Source organism: Homo sapiens, chromosome 2, assembly GCF_000001405.40.
Source record: "Homo sapiens chromosome 2, GRCh38.p14 Primary Assembly".
NCBI lineage: Eukaryota > Metazoa > Chordata > Mammalia > Primates > Hominidae > Homo > Homo sapiens.
In genome coordinates this window covers 89200507-89222987 of record NC_000002.12, presented here as the reverse complement: position 1 = coordinate 89222987, position 22481 = coordinate 89200507, and the positions used below count along the sequence as shown (strand labels likewise).

General features: G+C 41.1%; 2 gene segments (V, D, J or C) and 1 further gene, besides 4 other annotated features; 2 read left to right on the top strand and 1 right to left on the bottom strand.

The window, feature by feature from the left end:
• Nucleotides 1–22481, bottom strand: part of IGK (immunoglobulin kappa locus) — a 1378008-nt gene that overhangs the window by 1012381 nt on the left and 343146 nt on the right.
• Nucleotides 557–605: a sequence feature (IGKV2-28 leader sequence).
• IGKV2-28 (immunoglobulin kappa variable 2-28) lies at nucleotides 557–1290 on the top strand. The segment is given in 2 exon segments: nucleotides 557–605; nucleotides 980–1290. Coding segments are annotated over 2 exon segments (360 nt in total), but the record flags the coding sequence as incomplete, so codon positions are not given.
• Nucleotides 980–990: a sequence feature (IGKV2-28 leader sequence).
• Nucleotides 9091–9145: a sequence feature (IGKV1-27 leader sequence).
• Nucleotides 9091–9565, top strand: IGKV1-27 (immunoglobulin kappa variable 1-27). The segment is given in 2 exon segments: nucleotides 9091–9145; nucleotides 9270–9565. Coding segments are annotated over 2 exon segments (351 nt in total), but the record flags the coding sequence as incomplete, so codon positions are not given.
• Nucleotides 9270–9280: a sequence feature (IGKV1-27 leader sequence).

Genomic DNA, 22481 nt, shown 5'->3' with positions numbered 1-22481 from the left:
AGGCCCTTGGACAGAGCGCTCTTATGGGGCTCACTCACCAGGTGCCAGGGGAGGGTAGATTCCAACACTTGCTATGAACATTCTTGAACAGTTATCCTGGAAACCGCAGATACCAGACCACTCTTGAACTGGCTCAAGACTATGTTTTATTTGTAGGCTGTCTGCTCATCAGTGCTTGTAGGAAAGGGTAACGTTTCCTTTTTTAGATTAGCTGGGAGGGAGCCAAGAAGAATGGCATTCATCCATATTCATTCTAGACATATCTCTACATTGTTAGGGTTGTTATGCTTTCCTAGAGTTGCATATCCTATACAATGGGACCTACCCAAGATCCAAACTGTCACAGTCAGATCCTTCCTCCCATTTTATATCACATTGCTCACAGGAGAGACATATCCCCTGCCCGCCTGCCCCATTGACTCTTTCCACACCACTGCATGCACCAGGGGATTTGCATATTGTCCCACAGGGAGGACCTTCCCTTGTGAGTCTGAGATAAAAGCTCAGCTGTAACTGTGCCTTGACTGATCAGGACTCCTCAGTTCACCTTCTCACAATGAGGCTCCCTGCTCAGCTCCTGGGGCTGCTAATGCTCTGGGTCTCTGGTAAGAAAAGAAGGAGATGAGGAAGGAGAATAGGGTGGGAGGGTGAGCTCTAGGGCTCCACAGCATCCCATGATCCCATGTTTAGTCTTACCCTGTGTTAGAGGAGTATAATCTGTGCTGTAGAAAAGGGAACTTGATATTTTGCTCTGTGAATAATTAGAAGCCTCATAAGAAATATGACGTCTGGTGCTCTGATTAAGATCTTCAAAATATAAAGGTCTCTTATACTTTACAAAAATTGAATTCATTTTAGAATGTGTATTTTTATGGCATAAATCACTATTTTTTAAAATTAAGTTTAAATAAATGACATAAGATAAATTATGAAAATTGCTCATTAGGTTTGTACATAACTTTGCAATTCATTATTTCAGGATCCAGTGGGGATATTGTGATGACTCAGTCTCCACTCTCCCTGCCCGTCACCCCTGGAGAGCCGGCCTCCATCTCCTGCAGGTCTAGTCAGAGCCTCCTGCATAGTAATGGATACAACTATTTGGATTGGTACCTGCAGAAGCCAGGGCAGTCTCCACAGCTCCTGATCTATTTGGGTTCTAATCGGGCCTCCGGGGTCCCTGACAGGTTCAGTGGCAGTGGATCAGGCACAGATTTTACACTGAAAATCAGCAGAGTGGAGGCTGAGGATGTTGGGGTTTATTACTGCATGCAAGCTCTACAAACTCCTCCCACAGTGGTACAACCCCTAACAGAAACCTCCTCCTGGGGTTGCCTAGTTGCTCACATGTGCTGCTTGTCTGGAGAGCAGCTCAGCAGGGTCTCTGAGTCTGCAGAAGAGGAGGCTGTTGGAGACCTCAGGGCAGAGGTTGCTGCTGAGGACTCTGGCTCATGATAGCCTCAGCTGTACTTCAGTCCCACATGTTAAGGCCCCATTAGGTGAAAAATAAATGATTCCAAAAACTGAGATGAAATACCAAGGAGAATCAGAGTACAATTAAGGCTGTTACAAAGAAGCCTCAAAATATGGTGGACTAAATGTGACATGGTTTCTGTGTCTGTTGCCTGACAGTGCAGAGGCAGGTGGGTGGCTTTGGTGGTGTCGGTGGCTCTTCTCCAAGAGGTCGCTCAGATGGGCAGGAGACACGACCACCCTCAGACACAGCCTTCCTCCTTCCTCAGAGTCACTTGCCCCCATGCCCATCCTCGACAGCATGAAGTGGAACGACTAGAGAGAAAGCTGTTTTCTTCTAAAGACCAAAGAAATCTAGAGTTTCCCATCAGGGATAAATGTTCTTTTACTTTAAGCACGCATTGGAGAAATTTTCCATTCAGTGGATCTGCTGATAAACCCACTTTGTTTTGTTTGTTTGTTTTGTTGTGTTTTCAGATGGAGTCTCTCTCTGTCACCCAGGCTAGAGCGCAGTGACATGATCTCGGCTCACTGCAAACTGCCTCCTGGGTTCAAGAGATTCTCATGCCTCAGCCTCCGGAGCAGCTGGGATTACAGGCACCCACCACCATTCCAGGCTAATTTTTGTATTTTTAGTAGAGACAGGGTTTCACCATGTTGGCCAGGGTGGTGTCGAACTCCTGATCTGAAGCGATCCACCTGCCTTAGCCTCCCAAAGTGCTGGGATTATAGGCGTGAGCCACTGCACCTGGCAGTTATTTGCTCTTATATGATAATGTAAAATTATTTTAGAAAATAATTTTTTGAGTATATAGTTATGTTTGTGGCAGCCTATTTGAATTTATCATTTGATAATTTCTACTAAAATGTCTTTGTTATAAAAGTCATATGACTTTAATTGTCCTCTTCTGAAAAGAATATGGTTTTTTATCCTCTCAGGCTCCTTTTAGGACATTCAGTTAATCTCATTTTCATACAATATATTAATTTTAGTTTATTATTTCTGATAAATTTATTAAGTAATTTTCACTATAACAAAATTAAAAATCCCATAAATTGCTATGTCAATAACCTGTCTCTGGGTGTAAACACACTCCACAATAAACAATAAAGAACACCAAGGTCTTAGAAACACTGGGAAAATAAGACTGATAGTGTCCCATTATCAATGGGAAGTCCCTAAATCTAGAACGGTGTCTCATGTGTGACCTGGGACATCTGGGATGAGCTGCCAGTGTGCTGAGTTGTGGGGAACCTGCTCTGTGCTTGGAGGCTGAAAGCATATCCTTTCCCTCCCTACTGCCTTACCTGTGTCCACCTGCTGTGGTCTAAATTGTGTTCCCACATTCATGTTGAAGGTCTAATCTCCAACGTGGCTGTAGGAGATAGGACCTATAAGAATATAATGGAAGTTATAAGGGTGGGGCCCTGATCCAATAGGATTAGTGGTTCTCATAAGATCCAGAGATCTCTCTTTTTCCTCTCTCTCTAACTCCCACACTCTTATGGAAAGACCATATGAAAGCATGGTGAGAAGGTAGCATCTACAAACCAGGAAGAAGGTCTTTACCAGAAAGTGAACCCTGCTGGACCTTGATGTTGGACTTCCCAGCCATCAGAAATGTGAAAATAAATGTCTATGGTTCAAGCCACCCACCCAGAGTATTTTGGTGTTGCAGTGAAAGAAGACTCATTCACTATCCCCACCCTCTCTGAGCAGGATCAGCATCAAGAAATATCTCATGGATGTGGGGACCCAGCTTTGCTCCTATTCCTCCTGCTGTTCTCTCTCTTGAGGAAGAAGGGAGGGTTCAGGCTTCATCTTCAGTTTGTTTGCAATAAACAGGAATGTTTCCTTGACAATCAGTTAATTAGCCTGTTTTATTTTCTGAATAGAATTTAACCAAACTGAACAAACTACATGCTTGGTATTAATATTTGGGGTGTTCATGTTTATTCCACATTTAGATGGACAGTCTCTAGCCCCTCTTCATGTGTACTAGTAGAGAGGGTCACTGTCACCTGCAGGGCCAGCCATAGTCTCAACAATGTTCTAGCCTGGCACCAGCAGAAGCCACAGCTGGCTCTGAGCTTCTGCTGGCTCCTGCTGCCTACTCTACACAATGCCTGTTGGGTCAGGGGTGATGGGCTTGGACAGAGTTCACTCGGGCCATCAGCAGCTGAGCTGCCTTCATGGCGTCTCGTTTTGTGAAGAGGATGTCAGCAGCCACATGAGCCATGATAGCTGGGCAGAGAGATCCCACATCACTCTAGTCAGAGGAGAAGCTGCCAATTGTCAAGTGGAAGGGTTTTGTCCTGTGACCCTGTGACTACACAGCCACTGAGTCACATGTGCTGCTGTGTCTGAGAAGAGCCCCCAGGGGAGGAACTGTCTACTCGGAGATCTGGGAACAAAACTTCTCTCCAATCAGGGCCCAGACCCACTGCCCATCTCCCAGCCACCTGCTGATTGTGTTCCCCACACCCCCCTTGGGTCTTGGGGGCTCTCTGTCCTGCTCAACAGGGACATGGGGAAAGGTCCTGAGCTTCCTGACCTTCAGGAAGTCAGGAAGGATCATGTTTATGGTGTGCTATTGCTGGTTTTAAATGTTCATGCTCAATTTATCAAATTTGAAATCATACCTTATACCAACAGTTATATCTATTTCTATATAAATATACATATTATGTAGATGTATAATATAGATACATATTATATACAGATACATCAATAATTTATATCCATAATATTATATCTATTTAATTTAAAAGTTTACACAGTATGTCCATATATTCATTATTTTTGTAGCATGTGTTCCTTTTATTTCTAAGCAGAACAGAGGCTCGCTGAGTAAAGTCTGTGGACATTTGTTGACTCTCCCTCTTTGGCTCCAACAGGGTCCTGGTGTCTCAGGACCAGTGAGGACAGAGCTGAGGACAGCCAGCCCCAGGAGCCCAGGCCCAGCCCTAAGGCTCTGGTCTCAGAGACTTTCATCCTGACCTCGGGCACTGGGCTTGGTGTGGCACCCGTGGGTGTGTGAGCAGTTTCCTTCTCTGAAGCCCCATTCCATGCAGCCCCGTGGATAGGGCCTGTGGTTCCCCCCAGGTCCTCAGCCCCATGGTTCAGGAGAGAAGCTGCTACTGCCACAGACCAGGGCCAGTGACCGGCAGCTTGGGTAATGCAAACATTAGTCCTGGACTGAGGACCCTATGCCAAATATCTCCCCCATTTATTCCAGTACCTGAAAGTCTGTCCTGGTCTTAATTGCACAGGCCACATTTCCTTAACTAGTGAAGCCAGCATTGGCAACTGAAAAACTAGAAATTTGACTTCATTGTCATCCTCAGGGTCTGGCCCACTCCAATCCCACCACATAAAGAGGCCCTTGAACTTTCTCTTTCCCATGCAACTTAACTTAGACACATAGTGAAATATAAACATCGCAAAACTCTTGGCACCTACACAGCAGCCATCCCCTCTCCTTGGGCGTATAAGGGACCAGCTTCGTCCTGCTGCACATGGCAAGGACAATGAAGAGGAGCAGGGAGTGGGGCACATGAGCTCCACAATGAGATGTCAGAGGTGAGCAGCACTTCAGGGAAGGACTTTGATCCCTCATAAAGGCATAGAAGGTGAAGAGCTTTGTCCTGCATTTTTTTCCTGAAACAGGTATGCGTGCACATTGATACTTGGAGGCACTGCAGCCCTCCTAAGATCATGAGGCTTTGAACCCAAGACTGAAAAACTGAAGTGCAAAGAAGAAATGTAGCAAAAACCTGGGTCCTTTTGCTGTCACCAAGTTGCTGCACCAACCTCAAATGTTCCAAACTTCAGAATTCTTATCTCTGCTTCAGCTATTGCTATCATTTCTTGCAATTGCTTCTAAAATTATTTTAACTTATCCAGAAAAAATATTCAAGGGAAAGAGACTGACTGGGTTCTTATTTGTGTTTATGGGAGTCTAAGACACAAAAAAAACAGGAAATCAGAAAAAGTGATGTCTTCTCCTAACATCTTTGTCATTCTATGCCCATGGTTAGAGAAATCCAAACCACTTTGAAGAATGTATAAATTCTGCTCTCTTCCTGTCTCCATTTCTCTTTTTATATCTTAAGCATAAAACAGCTCCTTGTTCTTCTTAATGTCTCCATCCTTCAAGATCATAGAAACAGAATCATGGTTAAGAAACTGGAAAAAACAGTTGGAGAAAACATGAAATCTAGGGTTTGTATGCATTTCCTCTACACTAATGTGGTGTTTGCAGGGTTCCTCTCCTTCTCAGTTGTTTTTGCTGAAGATGCCGACTGTTCCAGCCAGATTCCTGTCAGAGGTTGTGTTTGGAGGGTTTAAAAGAAAAGCTTCCAGGGGCTTAGGGCTGAATTCCAAAAAGGATAGCCGGAGAGTGGCTCTGGATTCCCAGCAAGGAGAATGCCAGATTGAGTCTTGGGAAAGGCTATGGACATACTGGATCCCAGGCAGAGACTTGTAGCAGGGAGAAAGCCTCCACAGAAAATCCCTGCTAGGGCAATATCTAGTAGAGCCATGAAAGTGAGGCAGCCTGGGAGACCACAGAATTGTAGGGCCAGCAGCATGCAACTCCAGCCTGGGAAAGATGCAGGCACAAGACTCCAACCCATGAAGGCTTCTGGGTGAAGTGAGCCCAGTAAAACCATAGAGGTGGGGCTGCCTGAGGCATTGGTAAACCAACTCCCACCCCAGATTGCCCCAGATATGAGATTTGAAGTCAAAGATTATTCTCCACCTTTAAGACTTAATGTTTTTCCTGTTGGGTTTTGGGCTTACTTGGGACCAGTTAACCCTTTCTTTTTACCTATCTCTCTTTTTTGGAATGAGAATGTTTATCTTATGCCTGCCCCACCATTGTACAGTTGTCCCTCAGTTTCCATGGAGAATTGGTTCCAGGGTCCTCCACAAATACCATAATTTGTGGACATTCAAGTCCTGCAGTCAGCTCTGAAGAACCTGCAAATATGAAAAGTATACCCTCTGCATCTGTGGATTCTGCATCTGCTGAATACTCTATTTTCAATCCATGGTTGTTGAATCTGTGGATGTAAAACCCATGGGTAGGGAGGGCTAATTGTATTTTGGAAGCATGTAACTTGATAATTCACAGGCTTATAGCTGGAATTAATTTGCCTGGGATAAATAGTGCCTCGAATCTCACCCATATGTGATTCAGATGAGGCTCTGGACTTTGGACTTTTGAGTTGATGCTGGACCAAATTGAGACTTTAGGTGCTATTGGGATAAAATGAATGTGTTTTTCATGTGAAAAGGACATGAACTGGAGAGAGTAGGGTGGAATGCTGTGATTTGAATGTATCCTCCTCAGTTCATTTGTTAGAAATTTACTCCCCAGTGCAGCCATGTTGAGAAGTGGAAACTTTAAGAGGTAATTAGGTCACTAGAGCTTTGCCCTCATGAATGGTTAATGTCATCATGATGGGGGTGAGTTTGTTATAGTGAGAGTGGGTTACTTATAAAAACAAGTTTGACCCCTTCTTGCTCTTACTCACTCTGTCTTGCCTTTCCACCATGGAGATGCAGCCAGAAGGACCTTACCAGATAACTGCACCTTGGTATTGGACTTTCCCACCTCCAGAACTGTGAGAAATAGATTTCTAACTGAAAAGATAAATCACCCAGTTTCAAATATTCTGTTATAACAGCACAGACTGAAACAAATATGTTACTGTCATTATTTATTTTCAGAGTCAACATTCCCCTATTTTGTCCAAGGGGAGCCCCATTCAAGCTAGTTCCTAATACCTTTTTCTCTTACCCCATCATTTTCTGAGCACTTCCTTAGTTTCTGACACAAGAAGTGCAGGCTTATCTTATATTTTTTCTGCTCTAAACCTGATATCAGATATTTTTCCAGTAATTATTCTTTTTAATAGAGATTGATATTCAATAAAACAAGATTTGAGCACTCAAGGTGTTTATTGAGACTTGTGTGTTACTGCTTCTAGGAAAAATTACCTGTCTATCTGCATATGTTTTAATCTATATCCGTATAAAACTATCCAAAAAATTAATGAATCTACATTAATGTCTCTAATTACAATCCAAATCTACAGTTTCTCCTTTTTTATATTTGTAGCTTTTTTCCAAACTGAGAATCTTGGCTGTAATTATTCATACCATATTTACTTAAATGATCAAACATTTTGTGTGACACCAATCTCCCACTGTCCCTGTCACCTAAACTTTCCTTGTGGACAACTTCCCTCTTATGCCTCACACACCTTCATTAGTCTTGATACTCCGTGCCAGTCCACCATGAACTTTGCATCTCTGCATAGCTGCCCTTTCCCCCCCGGGCTCTGACATTAGCAACAGTGTCCTCCACCCTTGTGACTGTCCTGCTCATCCTCATCCAGCTGTGATGTCCTGCATAAGTGGGAGGAGGGGTCTTGCATCCTGCACACCCAGGTAGGGATACTTGTCTCTGCTAACTATAGCTTCAACGCCCAGGTGGGCTTTCCTCTACACCCCACAACACGGGTGCACTTTCTATACTGTGTAGGCTCAGTATCTCATACAATTCCCTGGCTTTTTGTTGCATAGTTTTCTTTCTGAACCTGCTCGGATCAAGTGCCCTAAACCCAGTCACTAAGAACTGTTTTCTCTTAGGAGCTGGAAGAGATTGGTGATTTGGAAATATGCAGGTATAAGAAACAGAGTAGTCACAGGGATAGAGGGTGACAACTTGGTTTAGAGGACACCTCAGCTTCTGAAGGGGAATGGCTTGGATAAGAGAAATAAAAGGCATAAATAAAATTCAGGGAGCACAGGGAAATATCTAGCATGAGACTGTAGGATGGCATACAGAGCTAGAATATAGCTGAGAACTTTCAGAAGTAAAGGGAGAAAATTTATCATGTTGGCTGGCCCAGCTGAAAGAGGTAGGAAAGAACATTCAGATATGGAGGATAACAATTATGTGTCTGGAGATGGGAGATTAGCTATGCCAGATAGCCAGTGGCAGGACCCTTCCTTGCTGTGGCACTATTTTCAAGTATTAGGTTTTTTTTAAGTTTTTTATTTCTTTTTTAATGAGCAAATCTATCTATCTATCTATCTATCTATCTATCTATCTATCTATCTATCTATCATTCATGATTATACCTTAATGCATCCATTGTTGGTAGCACTGACAATTTACAGCACTGGTGGTTCCAGGGAATTGGACCAAAAAGGAAGTCTCTCTGACCTTAATAGTACTCATCTGTATCAAATGCAGGAAACTTCTAAAATGTCTTGAGTTTCTAGAGATGTTTTTCCCTAGCAGACCTTGTCATAAATAGAAAGCTAGCAAGAGAAGCATGTCATGAAACATGAAGAGAGCAAAAGAACACTCCACATATAGGACAGTAGGCTGATTCTGTCCTGTAGCCTGCAGGGAGAAACACATGCTCTGCAGACTTTGGACACCTGGGAGGCACTGGGCCTGTGCAGTGTTATTGAGATAAGACATCTTTGCAGCTGTGCAGATTTGCATGTCCCACAGAGCAACGCCTACTGCCCTGAACATTTATCAATAGGCTGGTGACATCCTGTGCAGAAGTCTCTCTCAGTCAGGACACAGCATGGACATGAGGGTCCCTGCTCAGCTCCTGGGACTCCTGCTGCTCTGGCTCCCAGGTAAGGAGGGAAACAACAAAAATTTTATTCAGCCAGTGTAGCCACTAATGCCTGGCACTTCAGGAAATTCTTCTTAGAACATTACTAATCATGTGGATATGTGTTTTTATGTTCCTAATATCAGATACCAGATGTGACATCCAGATGACCCAGTCTCCATCCTCCCTGTCTGCATCTGTAGGAGACAGAGTCACCATCACTTGCCGGGCGAGTCAGGGCATTAGCAATTATTTAGCCTGGTATCAGCAGAAACCAGGGAAAGTTCCTAAGCTCCTGATCTATGCTGCATCCACTTTGCAATCAGGGGTCCCATCTCGGTTCAGTGGCAGTGGATCTGGGACAGATTTCACTCTCACCATCAGCAGCCTGCAGCCTGAAGATGTTGCAACTTATTACTGTCAAAAGTATAACAGTGCCCCTCCCACTGTGATACAAGCCCGAACATAAACCATGGAGGGAAGTAGATGTGTGAGTCTGGGCTGCCCCAGCTGCTCCTCCTGGTGCCGCCCTCTGCTGACAGCAGTTCTCAGATGCAGCCAAGGTTTGAAGCTCACTGGGAAGTTTTGGTAGAAGGGGTCAGGGAGGCACATTTACATTCTATCTCTCTTTATCCTCAGCTCCATCAGCTGATATGCAAGTATCTCTCCTGATTATTATTAATAAAGGACAAAGAAAATTAAACCTAGGAGGTCTAGATTGCAGCAAAAGTCAGACTTATACAGAAAAGGAGAAGGTACTCTACATATTTTTAAAGAATTTTTTTTGATACAGGGGATTAGAGTCTAAATTATGACCTTTCAAAGATCAGACATAAGTACATACACATATAAGTATGTTCAGCCAACAACATATCAGATAAACATATTGCACCTATATGTATACTGTAAACATTTATGCTCCGATCCCACCTTCTTCCAACACTACCCAGATCAAGATCCACACTCTTCCCAGCATCTCAAATATCTCCCCAGTTTACTTCCCTGTCAATTCCGTGTTCCATCTATCATCATCCTAGGCTTCCACTGTATTTTATATCAATATTTATTAATTTTTCCTATACTTAAGCTTTATATAATTTCAATCATACAGTATTTACTCTTTGACGTCTTGCTTATTTTGGTCAAAATATTTTTGAGCTTCATCTGCGTTGTTTCTCTGGCAGTAATTTGTGCCTTTTTATTGAGGAACAATTTTCCATGAATATGCCAAAATATATTCATTTTTCAACTAATTATTTGTTTTTGGTTTAAGAATATTACTGGTAAAAACCTTAAGAACATTCTTGTGCTTGTCTTTTGTGAACTTATGCACTCATTTCTCTTGGGAATATTCCTAAGAATGGAAGTGTTGAGTTATAAAGTTAGCATAGAATTTGTCTTAGTAAACATTGACAATAGTTTACTGAAATGCTGAACATGTTTACATGAAACCAACCACGTCCTAAAAGTCTCAATTGCTGTCAATCTTTTTCAGTACTCAGTACTGTCAAACTTTTATTATATCTAGGGTGGAGGCCAAAGCAACCCCATCTTGGATGCTAATTTTCCATGTCTGACTTCTGATTAACCTGAGTTCTGGGACGGTCTCTAAGATTTTCAGTTTATCTATTTTATCTTATTTAAGAGCAAGTACTTAGCATAAATCCTGCCCTTAAACAACCTTGATGTAATCATTCTTTGATTGTCGTACACATCCTTTCTGAATCACTGGTCTCCTATGGTATACAAGCCCTATTTGAGAGGGGTCATGGCAAGTGATTGACCATCTTATCTGCCTACTGTCAGAGACACAGACACGGCTTCTGTTTTTAAGTCTCTATTAAATGTTTCTTTCTGAGAAACTGGATGTGTCAGCCTCTTTCTTCAGCCTTTCAGCTTCCTCAGGCATTGGGGTCAAGTTTGCATAGATCTACCCTGTCATGTGCGCTCCAAGGTCAGAGTTAACCAGGCCCATGCGTGTTTATGTCTTTCCACAATGTCAGACTTTTACTGATGCTATTTCCAACACAGAAGCTGCAAGCTACATGGAGCTCCCAAGGAGCCATTCGATTGTCAGTGTTGCGGGCACACAGGCTAAAACCATTGCACAAGCCGGTCAATATTGCAAACCATACATAATAGTATTCTTAATCAATACATAAACATTATAAGTTAAAGTTTACACAATGCAACATTTAACACCAAAAGAAAAAAAATAGGAGAAAGAGTTATCAAATCAATCCAGGGGTAGTGAAGAAGACAAAAAGAATCCTGGTCTGGCCTGAAGGTCCCTTGGTCCTTGCAAGGAAGAGTCTCTGATGTGTCAGAGCCTTCTTAGGCAGATGAGGAGTTCTTATCACAAATGACAACGGGATGGTTGTGAATTAAGATGGCCCTTTTGAGATACTGACAGCCCGCACTTTCATGGTCACAGAGTCCTCTGGTGAGAACTCATAGTGCAAGACTGTGCTTGCTTGTGACCTTATCTGGTTGGATGCAGCCTTTATTTTTTTTATTTTGTAGGCAAAACATTTTATTCTTGTTGGCAAGCTGCCCTATGAAACATATAATGCAGTCTTTATCTGAGATGGAGTCAATTATGTCAAAGTTCCACTATACATATCCAACACAAAACATCTGTACTGATAAATCTGAAGTTGTATCATGATTAAAATTTATACTTCCTTAATAGGTAATGATCTTGAGTCACTTTTCATATATTTATTTTCATTGGCTGTTTGCATATCTTTAGGGAAGTTCCTGTTCAAATCGTGTGTGTGAGTGTCTGTGTGTGTAATGTTATATTAATCATACACATTGATGCGATTAGAAGTTCTTAATTATAATGTAATCTAATTTGTCATTTTACTTGTCATTTTTTTCTCCTGTGTTTGTTTTGTGTATTTACGTGTGTCCTCTGTTTAATAAATTTTTACCACCAAAGGGCTTAAAGATATGCTCCTATGCTTTCTTGAAGAAGCATCGTTATTTTACCTCTCACATATAGGCTACAGTCTATCTCTAATTCATGTTTTTTGCCTGGGGTGAGGTGGATCAAGAATTTTATTTTGATATCTTGTTTTATTTATTTTTATTTTCATACTCAACAACTCCTCACCATTTCTTGCAAAAATAGAGCAAAACACAACAAAACAAAAAACAATTGAAAACATATACCTCACTCTATTGCCTGTGTTTAAAAATCTCATGATTGTGTAAAAATAATATTTTTCTTGACTCTTTGTCTATCTCTGTGCTTACAGTACAGTCTTAATTACTGTGGCTTTATTATAAAGAAAAAAAAGTCAGAAGACATAATACCAGATTTTTAGACTTAAGATTTTCTTGGCTATTCTACATCCTTTGAATTTCCACGTAAATTGTAGAATCACCTTTTCAATTTCAAAAATTCCTTTGGGGATTTTAATTGGACTGCATTGAGTCTATATATCAAATTGGAGAAAACTGAAATCTTTTTTTGTATTATACTTTAAGTTTTATGGTACATGTGCACAACGTGCAGGTTTGTTACATATTTATACATGTGCCATGTTGGTGTGCTGCATCCATTAACTCTTAACAATATCAAATCTTCTGTTCTATGAACAGAAAATGCTATTTATTTATATCTCCTTTAATCCACATTGTATGCAGAGACCTATTTCTAGTGATTAAGTTTTAGATTCTTTAAGAACTTATGTACAAATTTTTTCAGCAAATACAAATGTTTTGCTTATTCATTTCCATACTCCATGGGTTTTGTTTGTTTATTTGTTTTGAATTTTTGCATGTCTTAGGACCTCCATTATGATTTCATATAGTGGATGGTTCAGTATTTTTTATAATTTGAGAAGTGAAATGTTTAATATTTTATCACTAAGATGTTTGCTGTAGAATTGCCTGTACGACTTCTCAATAATTTTAAACCTCAGTAATTCTAAAGATGGATCATTTGTAGATGCTTTATCAGAATAAGGTGTTTTTCATTATCCCAGGCTTGCTGAGAGTTTTATTATGAATAGCTGTTGACTTCTTTCAAGTGATTTTCAGCTACTATTGAGATAATAAAAGTTATTGTTCTTAATTCTGTCAGTGTGATGCATTATATGGATTGATTATGTAATGTTATAATAACCTTGCACTTCTGAAATATATTCAAGTTGGGCATGGCAGATTATCTGAGAGAGATAGAGGTAAATCTTCCCTTTTTTTTTTGAATGTTTGTCTGTATTTATGAGAGATACTGACTTTTAGTTTTTCCATTTGAAATGTCTTCAATAGTCTTTTGATCTTATCACTCTTATTGTGCAGTTGTCAACATAACTTATCAAACTAGACAATGAGAGATTAGAACATGAGCAACATCATTCTTAAGGCTCCTTGTGGTTATCGAGATGTTGGAGGGGATAGAGAGATAAACCTGAGAAATATTTCAGTGAGAGAGTTGATGGGACTGAGGTTTGCACAGCCGATGGCAGTTGATTTTTAAAAATTGCTTATATGTGCAACTATATTTCCCTTTATAATTTTTATCCTTTACTCTGTGTGTAGAAAAGTGTATTTTATCCTGCTTTACTAGGACATTTGTGTTTTCATTTCTTTTTACAAATCTGAAATTCATGTTTATTTGTGAATTATCACTTCACTTAAACATTTTATACAATGCTTTTCTAGCAATTTGAGATTTTGGAGTACTATACCGCTGATATTGAGTGGCAAACATAAACATAACCACTAATCGTATCTTATGATCTAAATAGAATACATACTGGTTGGAGTGGGGAAATTGTGCATATCATGAAGTAAGGACAAGCATTAGAAATAAAGGAAATATTTCTTAAGATATTTGATAGCTTAGGAAATATCATTTCATAACACTTATATTTTCAGAAAAATATTTGATGTGTTTGTGTTCTATTTCTGAATTAGATGTCACAGTAATCACTGTGCTGACTCAGGCTCTGGTCTCCAAAAACAGCTTGATCAGTTAGGGCTGAGCAGTGACTCAGCCTGGTATTGGCAGAACCCAGTTTAGTATCCTGCGATTCTTACTGTGTATGCGCCTGTCTGACTTCACCCTGACTCAGTGGAATTGGTCTGAGACAGATGCCTTGCTCACAGTTAGGAGCTGAAATTATGAGGCTCCCACATGATGAGGAAACAGCCTTTCTTCTCATTGTAAGATGAGTTCTGAGGGCTTTTTTGCATCTGTGAATTGTGACTTCTCACGGGGAACTCACACACTTGAGTGACCTGAGAAGACCATGAAGTGTGATGTATTTAACCTCAATTACATCACCATTTCTCATGTGATTTTTTTTTCATTTCAGTTGTCAACGGGAACATTATCGTGCCCAAACTTACAAAACTTCCAGACAAAGCTTCCTGAGAGAAGTTGAAAGGCCACCATCAGCTGAGAAGCTGTGACGATATTTGTAGCTGCCTGAATTGGAGCCAACAAAAACCAGGTCAGGCTCTGAATCTTACTATTTATAGTAATTATGACCTGCACCTTGCTGTCCTTGCCAGGATTAGTGACAGTGGGTGGACTGATTTCATCCCCTCCATCAGCAGCCTGGAGGCTGAAGATGCAGCGTACTGTTACTGTCAACAACATAGGAGCTTGCCTGTCACGGTGTGAGAACTCTGGACAGCGAGAGGACACCAATCCACTCCTTTCTCTTGTCAAAATGACTGACATCTAAGTGGGAAATCTAATGAACCCCTCAGAAAGGGCCTTTGGATACTACTTTATCCCATGATGAAAGACAGGAACCGAAACCACACACATTTGATGGGAATTTGGGCTCATCCACTTAACAGCTGTGTGACTTTCAGGACGTTACTTAAACTTTCTTTGCTTGGTTTTCCCATCTGTAATAATAAAAAATAAAGGAATAGCTACATCATACGGTATTATAAGAGTTGAATAGATGTTTTTAAAATGTTTATAAATAGTAAACATTTGATAACATTATTTATCATTATTTTGCTCCACCCGGTAATTATATATATAATATTTCTCACCATATTTTTAAATTTGAACCATTTCATAATTTAAAAATTGTTTTGCAACTTCCACTTCTGTAAAATGGTGGAACGGCTTATGTGGAACCAACCTTCTGGGTACACCTAAAAAAAGCTGAATAAAATATGAAAACGTGTTTGAAGGCATTAGAGCATCACCATGTCTGAGAGTCTGATTACTTTTGATGTTTTATCCCTGACATCCTCCAAGCCCCTCCTCCTTTTTTCTCTGCCCATATCTCTATAAGCACTGGTAGGAAATTCCCCACAACCCTCCAGCTCACAGGGAGAACATTCTCTCACTCTCTCCCCTTACCAACTCTAAAAGCCTAAACTCTGCCTCTTCAGGCAGGTCTGCACCAGCTCGTGCCCACCCCACACAGGCATCCTTCGTGGGAACAATAAACACTCTCTCAAGTTTTCTTGGCCTCAACTTAATAATTATTAATTAGGGAACCGGCCCATCTACCTCCATGATGGGGCATTAAACATTACAACCCAGCAGGTCTTCAAGGAGACAAGAAAAGCAGGGAAGCATAGACAGGGGAGCACTAGTTTTGTGCCTTCAGTGTCCCTTGAGACATAAGCAGGCTCAGAAATAGAGGCCCAGTCCTGAAAATCTGAAAGAAAGGAGGGGCCAAGGGGCCTCGGAGTCCATCAGAGCTTTAAAAAACTCTCATATGGCCACAGGTGAAAAACTGTCCCGAACGACTGCAGAAAAGGAGGGATCCTGACACATACCGAGGTCTTGAGGTGAAATCTTGCTAGGGAAACATACCGGGAGGAGGTTGCACCAGGAGTAGCAAGGCACCACCGTGCTGATACCCAGGCCCAAAGTACTGCAGTCCTTTGATGGCATTAACTTGGTACAGCCCTAGCATTTCATTCTGGCAGAATAAGAAGTAAATCCTCTCTGGAGTGTGAAAATTATTCCAGAGCCCAAACTTGCTTCTAAAATGTTGTAGGGCAAGTATCAGTTTAAATCTACATAGATATTAAGTGTATTAAACATAGTGTGATTTCAATCAACAATACCCAAACATACAAAATGGAGAGAAAAAAAACAGGCAACAGAAAGGGACCAAAATAATTTGCGGATATTGGGACAATAGTATATTATATGCTGAATGCATTCTATGACAAGATCAAGAATTTTAGCAGAGAACAAGAAACTATAAAAAGAAATCAAACAAATGTCAAATATAAAGTAATTCAAACCAATAACTCAATGGATGAATGTAACGGTAAATTTGACAGTTAAATTTGCTCTTGCAAGTGATCCACTGGAAGTTTGGTCAGGCCATGAGGCAATTTGTAATAAATAAAAAGAATAAAATCATTTCTAGACAAATATGATGAACGTGATTTGATTTAATTAAGTGTAAATTATTGTCTCAAAAATTGTAAATTGATTGATCCTCAGGTGAAAGAAGCAACACTCCTTCCATTTTAGACCAAAATGTGTGAGAATTTCCTGACCAGAGAAAGAACACAGAGCACTGGGCAAGAAAAGGAGGCTGAGTGATGAGGTGGCAGCCTGGGACCCTCGAATCCACGTGAAGCCCTAAATTCCGCAGGCTTCAGTGCCTTGTGTGGAACCAGAGAGCAAAGCCATTTTCAAAAGCATTGCTCCGCCTGTAATCCCAGCAATTTGGGAGGCTGAGGCAGGAGAATAGCTTGAACCCCAGAGGCGGAGGTTGCAGACTGTCAAGACGATGCCATTGCAGTCTAGCCATTAGCATGGGCAACAAGAGGGAAACTCTGTTTCAAAAAAAAAAAAAAAAAGAAGCATTGCTCCTCGCCTTCAGACACAGCTTCCAATACAGTTTTGAAAAATAATTTAAATCATTCCATAAATACTGGAATGCAAATATTTCATAAAAATCTAGAATGTACTCCATTTAGAGAAGACAGAAGAGGCAGTCTTTCTGCTCTATAATCATCTGGAGGGCACTGTCCTGCTCTGAACTTGAGCTCTAGCCAGAGCTGATAATACGAAGACCTCTCTCTGTGCAGCCATCAGCCCTGACTCCCAGCACTGCAGGGGAGCTGAGAGAGGCCAGAGGCACAGACATGGTGGAAACTGCCCACAGATTCCGACTGAGGGAACAACGAAAGAGTGGAGTAAGAAATCACTGACTGAGCCGCTGTGGGCCTCAAGTCTGATAAACTTACGGTCACTCTATTGCTAACTAGAGAGCGTTGGACAGCAACATATTGTGTGGCCTCCACAACACTTGGAAACCAGACATGAGGAAATCCCAATTCATAGGTATTAACATCTAACTGAAAGCTACCCACCACTCGCTTATGTTTCCACAGTCTTGGATAGTGCCTGAAAACCATTTATGATTGTTTTAGGCATCATGAACAAGCAAGCAAACAAACAAGAAAGCGTGTTTGAGAATATGCAAAAAAGACTTACTTTATTCACTAGGAATGACACTGTCAAGTACCTACCGGGAAAAAACACCAGGTGTCTTGGCGGAGTTGACCACAAGAGGGGGCACGTGCGCAATAGCGATCCTAGAGAGGGCTCTGGGATCTCGGATTAACAATGGCCCAGAGTCCCGGCCGGTTCTGGGTATTATTATTATTATTATTATTATTATTATTATTATTATTATTACTATTATTACTTCATGATCCCAGTTCATAGCTTACCATTTTCACGCACTAATAATTTTACACCTCTTCGCGTTTCTTATTTTTCTAGCTGACTCTATTGTAGAAGGACAATTAAACTTAGGACTCAGAACAACCTAATCAATGGGTAATTGTTTAAACATCAGTTCCCTCTGTCACATACTGTGACATGCAGAGTGTGTGTAAGCCTGGAGAAATGATTCACAGGAAATGTCCATGAGGAAGAGCTGTGAGTGAGAGGGTCTGTCTAGCAAAGGAGAGGAGTGAGGACTAGGTTTTTTGGAGTGTGGCCTAGTAATTGAAGGGCATCAAAAGGACAAGGATCAAGATGTTCTTCATCCAGGTGTGAGGACATGCAAACCCTGCAGGTCCTCCCAGGCCAGTGGTCATGGTCTTGGAGACTTGTAGATCTAACTGTCATTTGCTCACATCCACAGTTACCACCTGGCTCCAAAGATAGCACTGGTATGGGCTAGCTTCCCGGATGCTCCAGAAGTGTAGATATAGTTTGCCAATGATTAAGAGGACAATGAAAATTGTATATTTGGTTAGATTTATATCTATGACTCCATTCAGGAAAGAAAAATGAGCAGAAGAAATAGCTCTCTGAACTAAATGAAAAATCACATCCTAGTGACATTTTTCCTTTCCCATATCGATCCTTTAATATCATGTTTGACACTTCAGAAGGTCAGCTGACCCCTGGGATATTTATCGTTAAGTCATGATTCTGCTCAACCTGAGCCCATGGTTGGACCATGCCCAGGCATCTGAATACAGCCGGCCTGGGAGCCGCAGTGAGGCATTCTCTCTCATAGGAAGCTTTGACTGAGGTTCAGAGATGAATGCCTAGCACTCAAGGTCTTTTGCATAGAAACATACATGGGCTATTTGACCGCTCCATCTAAGGTGTGAAAGTGAACCTGTTATCTGATTCTGCTCATCTAGGCTGAAAACAGACTTCCAGAAGATTCCCCTGCCCAGGATGGTCTTGTTGGGATGGATCCTCTTGCCCCTGGTGCTCTGCATTCATGGTACAGGATTCTTTGTACATATATGTAATTTTCAGGATGAGAACAGTGGTGGCCACTCTTATCCAGTGGGTGAGACAGTGAAGATCAATGGCCAAAGTTTTTATTTCAGCCTTTCATTCAGATGGCAGAGGCTTAAAAACCTGAAGAACACCTAGATATGATGTATCTTTTTTTTCATTCACAACCATTGTTTTTGACTTGCATTCAGACTGATCAATTGTTTTTCCACCCTTTCCCATCAGGCTACTGTGCTGACTCAGCCCCCATCCCTCCTGTCTGTGGCCGTGGGAGACAGGGTCTCCGTCTCCTGCAAGGCCAGTCGCAATCTCATCCATAGGAATGGAGACATCTACTTGAACGGGTTCCAACAGAAGCCACACCAATCTCCTCAACCACTGATCTATATGGTGACAAACAGGGCTCCTGGGTCCCAGCCCACGTCAGTGGCAGTGGGTCTGGGAGGAAGTTCACACTCACAATCACCAATGTGGAGCCAGGAGACGTTGCATATTACTTCTGTGAGCAGCGCACTCACTGGGACCCTATACAGTGGAACAGCCCTAAACATACACCTCCCTGTCAGGCCTCTGAGCCCAAGCTAAGCCATCACATCCCCTGTGACCTGCATGTATACATCCAGATGGCCTGAAACAACTGAAGATCCACAAAATAAGTGAAAATAGCCTTAACTGATGACATTCCACCATTGTGATTTTTTCCTGCCCCACCCTAACTGATACGATATAGTGTCCCCTGCCCTTAAAAAGGTACTTTGTAATATTCTCCCCGCCTTTGAGAATGTACTTTGTATGCCTATCCCAAACCTATATGAGCTAATAATAATCCCACCACCCTTTGCTGACTCCTTTTTCGGACCAGCCCGCCTGCACTCAGGTGAAATAAACAGCCTTGTTGCTCACACAGAGCCTGTTGGTGGACTCTCTTTACATGGACACACGTGACACACCCATGCAGGGTCAACCCTTCTGCTCAGCTGAGCATCTGCTTCCTCCAGGGAATCAGTGTCTGAGCAGCTGCTCCTCTTAGAGAAGAAGGAAATTGGGGTGAGGTAGAAATGGTGAGGAGCCCTTGAAGGAGGTGGGAAGATGTGGTGTGGCTCTAAGCCCAGGGGTCCCTCTCATTAAATGATCAGTGTCCAGACAGCATTGCTGAGGCAGCTCCCAGAGGGCTCCATCCTGAGTCCCTCTTCTCAGGCCCCCTGTATCACTGGCCCTGAAGAAATACTCTCCTGTTGTCCATGGCTCCAAGAACAGTTTGCCTTGCCCTGACTTTGCTGCTCAACTCACAGCCTCATGGCAGATTCCACTGGACCATACACAGTGTCAGATCCATAAGGAGGTACTGGTCTGTTCTAAATCAGCTGTTCTGATTCTCAACTTCCTGCCTAATGGCTCATCTCCATGAGATTCATGTGCTCCACCCTTTCTGGCTCAGCCATGCTCTTCCTGGCTTCCCCTAATCCCAGGTTTTCCCCTGGAAGTTTGACAGGCTTCTCCTCTAAGTATGTTGTCAATTTATTTTCTTACTTGCTTGATTCCTGGGGAAACAAGTCCTTTCAAGCCTAGGCCCTTCTGAGACCTCAGGGATGCAAGGCAAAAAGAGCAAAGCAGCTGCACGTGTATGAGACTGAATTGGTCACCTAAACTGTCATTTAACTTTTTTGCTAAGTCATTGCTTTTCTCTGGAAATAGTTTTTCAAGATGCAAGTATTTGATTTTTAAAACATGTGTGGCTTTACCAAATGCTTTTCTTCTAAGTCTTCTTCTCCACAAGTCCAAGTTAGGCTAATTATATCCAGTAAAGTCTGGTAGCCCTTCTCTAATAGCTCCTCTTTCCATACCCCTAGCAACACTCAGTCATAATCCCACTGATTCATCAGATGACAAATGCAAAAACTTGGAAAAATATATATTCTTCATAACAAATGCTATATATTTTAAACTGAGGCCCTAGACTTTCATCTTCTCCAATATTGTGTCTCAACTGTGTGAATTATATAATATGGCAGCAATTGTATTTCAATCTCTCCAGTTAGGAGCAGCTCAGTGCTTGCAGTATCTTTCCATTTGATTTCTATAACATTCCTAGTGGTAGAAAACTCAATTCATTTATCCAATTACATGGCTTAGTAACAGCTGTCTGTTGGTGTATACTTCTATGTTTTAATAATCCTATTCCCCTGTTCCATTATTCAAGCTAACAACATTCCATTGGTAAATGGCATCACTGAAAATTTACTGTTTAAGAATGAACATTATTTTTTCAATATTCTTAATTGGTTAGCAGACTTCAAAAATAACTAAATTCTGAAAAAAAAATAAGTAATGGCAGGCTCAGAGAAAAATAAATTATTTCTAATAATGTGAGGACATGACCAAATAGGAAGAGCAGTGAAAGCAGTTGCGTGTGCTCCCTTTGTCCAAAACATTTTACAGAAAGGATTTTATTGATCACAGTCCTTCATCATCACAGGTAATAAGACATGTTGACATTATGCAACTCAAGATGATGCACTGGCTGACAAGGACCATCTCTTTTGTGATATTCTTGTCAAAAACATATAATCTGAATTAATTAATAGAGAAAATTAGAAGGGCAATCTTAAAAATCATTGATAGTACATTTTACAAGCATCAAGGTCATGAAAGACAAAGAAAGAATAAACAATGATCACAGATTGGAGGAGATTAAGGAGACAAGAAAATTAAGTGCAATATGTCATCCTGGATTTGATACTGGAACTTGAAAGAATCTTTAGTGAAAAATTTAGTGGAATCCAAATATGGAGTAAATACTATTGTATCAATATTAATTTTTCATTTTATATCATCCCACTTTGGTTATTTAAGATGTTTAATATTAAGAGAAGGTAGAGGAGAAGTATATTGAAACAATCTACTACTTTTGAAACTTTGCATAAATCTAAATTTATTTCAAAACTAATTAAAATATACAAATGAAAATATAAGTAAGAAAAGAACATAAGCTCCTAAGGAGCAATTCCACAAGTATCATTCTATTTTTCCTCATTTTCTTATTTGTGATTTCTGTTTCTTGAAATGACAATCCTGGTTTCTATTATCTATAGCAGTGGTCCCCAACCTTTTTGGCACCAGGGACTGGTTTCATGGAAGACAATTTTTCCATGGGTCTCAAGAGTCGGGGATGGTTTCAGGACTATCCAAGCACATATTTATTGTGCACTTTATTTCAATTATTATTACATTGTAATATATAATGAAATAATTGCACAACTCATCATAATGTAGAATCAGTGGAAGCCCTGGGCTTGTTTTCCCGCAACTAGATGGTGCCATCTGGGGGTGATGGGAGACAGTGACAGATCATCAGGCATTAGTTTCTCATAAGGAGCACACAACCTAGATCCCTCACATGTACAGTTCAAAATAGGGTTTGCACTGCAGTGAAAATCTAATGCTGCTGCTGATCTGACAGATGGTGGAGCTCAGGTGGTAATGCAAGCAATGGGGAGAGGCTCTAAAGACAGAGGAAGCTTTGCTTGCTTACCTGCTGCTCACCTCGCAGTTGTAAAAGACCAAATGAGATGTTGAATTCAATAGAGTTATTTTAAAGATGTTTAAAAAATTTATTTCTTTCGATCAGCACTCT